Source organism: Homo sapiens, chromosome 9 (genome assembly GCF_000001405.40).
Source record: "Homo sapiens chromosome 9, GRCh38.p14 Primary Assembly".
In the NCBI taxonomy this organism is placed as follows: domain Eukaryota; kingdom Metazoa; phylum Chordata; class Mammalia; order Primates; family Hominidae; genus Homo; species Homo sapiens.
In genome coordinates, this window is record NC_000009.12 from 21,628,081 (window position 1) to 21,630,342 (window position 2,262).

General features: G+C 38.5%; 1 annotated feature.

Moving 5' to 3' along the window:
- Positions 594–763: an enhancer, noted in NCBI's record as "experimental_107244 CRE fragment used in MPRA reporter constructs". NCBI's record gives its function as "activates a minimal promoter by MPRAs in K562 erythroleukemia cells, with activity observed for the non-introgressed 9:21628758 variant allele {active_cell/tissue: K562}" and the evidence as "EXISTENCE:reporter gene assay evidence [ECO:0000049][PMID:34662402]".

Genomic DNA, 2,262 nt, shown 5'->3' on the forward strand with positions numbered 1-2,262 from the left:
CTGAAAGACAGGGAGAGAAAGCAAGAAACTTGGAAAACACATCTGAGGATGCCATTTCCCCAACCTAACTAGACAGGATAACATTCAAATCCAGGAAATGCAGAGAACTCATGCGTGATACTATACAAGATCATCATCCCCAATACACATACTCATCAGATTCTCCAAGAATGAAATGAAATAAAAATGTTAAAGGCAGCTAAAGAGAAGAGGCAGGTCACCTACAAAGGGAACCCCATTAGGCTAACAGTGGAACTTTCACCAGAAACATTACAAGCCAGAAGAGATTTGAGTCCTATATTCAGCAATGTTGAAGAATAGAAATTCCAACCAAGAATTTCATATCCAGCCATACTCAGCTTTATAAGTGAAAGAGAAATAAGATCATTTTCACAAAGCAAATGCTGAGGAAATTCATTAACAAGAGACCTGCCTTATAAGAAGTCCTTAAGGGAGTACTAAATATGGAATGGAAAGAACATTACTGGCCACCACAAAAACACACTTAAGTACATAGACATTGACACTATAAAACAACCACATATCAAGTCTGCAGAATAAGTAGCTAACAACCCATTGACAGGATCAAACTCACATATATCAACATTAACCTTGAATGTAAATGGGCTAAATGTCCCAATTAAAAGGCACAGTTGGATAAAGAAGCAAGGCCCAACTGCATGCTGTCTACAAGGGACCCATCTCAAATTCAATGGCACTGTGACTGTTAATCTTAGGTGTCAATTTGGTTGGATCGATGGATGCCTAAATAGCTGGTAAAGTATTGTTTCTGAGTGTGTCTGTGAGGGTGTTACCAGAGGAGACTGACATTTGAGTCAATGGGCTGGGAAAGGAAGACCCACCCTCAATGTGAGTGGGCACCGTCCAATCAGCTGCCAACATGGCTAGAACAAGGCAGGCAAAAGAAGGAGGGATAAGCTGACTTGCTGAGTCTTCTGATTTTCATCTGTCTCCTATTCTGGATGATTCCTTCTGATCCTCCTGCCTTTGGACATCAGACTCGAGGTTCTTTGACCTTTGGATTCTTGGACTTATGCCAGTGATTTGCCAGGGGCTGTCAGGCCTTCAGCCACAGACTGAAGGCTGTACTGTCAGCTTCCCTGCTTTTGAGGCTTTTGGACTCAGACTGAGCCACTACTGGCTTCTTTCTTCTCTAGCTTGCAAATGGCCTATTATGGGACTTCGCCTTGTGATTGTGTGAGCCAATTCTCCCTAATAAACTCCCTTTCATATATACATATACCCTATTAGTTCTGCTCCTCTGGAGAACCCTGACTAATACAGACACCATAAGCTGGATCCAAAGAATGGAGAAAAATCTACTAAGCAAATAAAAACAGAAAAGAGTAGGGGTTGCTATTCTAATTTCATACAAAAGAGACTTTAAACTAACAACAATCAAAAAGACAAAGAAGGGCATTAAATAATGGTAAAATGTTAAATTCAACAAGAAGACCTGACTATCCTAAATACACATACACCCAACACAGGAGTACCCAAATTAATAAAGCAAGTTCTTAGAGACCTACAAAGAGACATAGGCTCCCAACAATAATATTGGGAGACTTCAACACTCCACTGACAGTATTAGACAGATCATAGATTCAGGAAATTAACAAAGATACTCAGGACCTAAACACAACATTGGAACAAATAGATCTGATAGACCTTTACAGTACTCTTCACCCCAAAACACAGAATATACATTCTCCTCATCTGCACATGGCACATACTGTAAAATTGACCACACAGTTAGCCATAAAACAGTCCTCAGCAAACTAAAACAAAATCATACCAAATACACTTTTGGACCACAGTGCAATAAAAATAGAAATCAATACTAAGAAAAATTACTCAAAACCATATGGTTACATTGAAATTAACCTGCTCCTGAATTACTTCTGGATGAACAATGAAATTAAGGCAGAAATCAAGAAATTCTTTGAAACTAATGAGAACAAAGACTCAACATACCAGAATATCTGAGACACAGTTAAAGCAGTGTTAAGAGAGTTTATAGCACTAAATGCCCACATGAAACAGTTGGAAAGATCTCAAATTAGCAACCTAACATCATACGTAGAGGAACTAGAGAAATAGGAGCAAACCAACCACAAAGCTAATAGAAGATAAGAAATAACAAAAATAATAGCTGAACTGAAGGAAAATGAGACTCAAAAAACCATACAAAAAACCAGCAAACGCAGAAGATGGTTATTTGAAAGAATAAATAAGATTGAC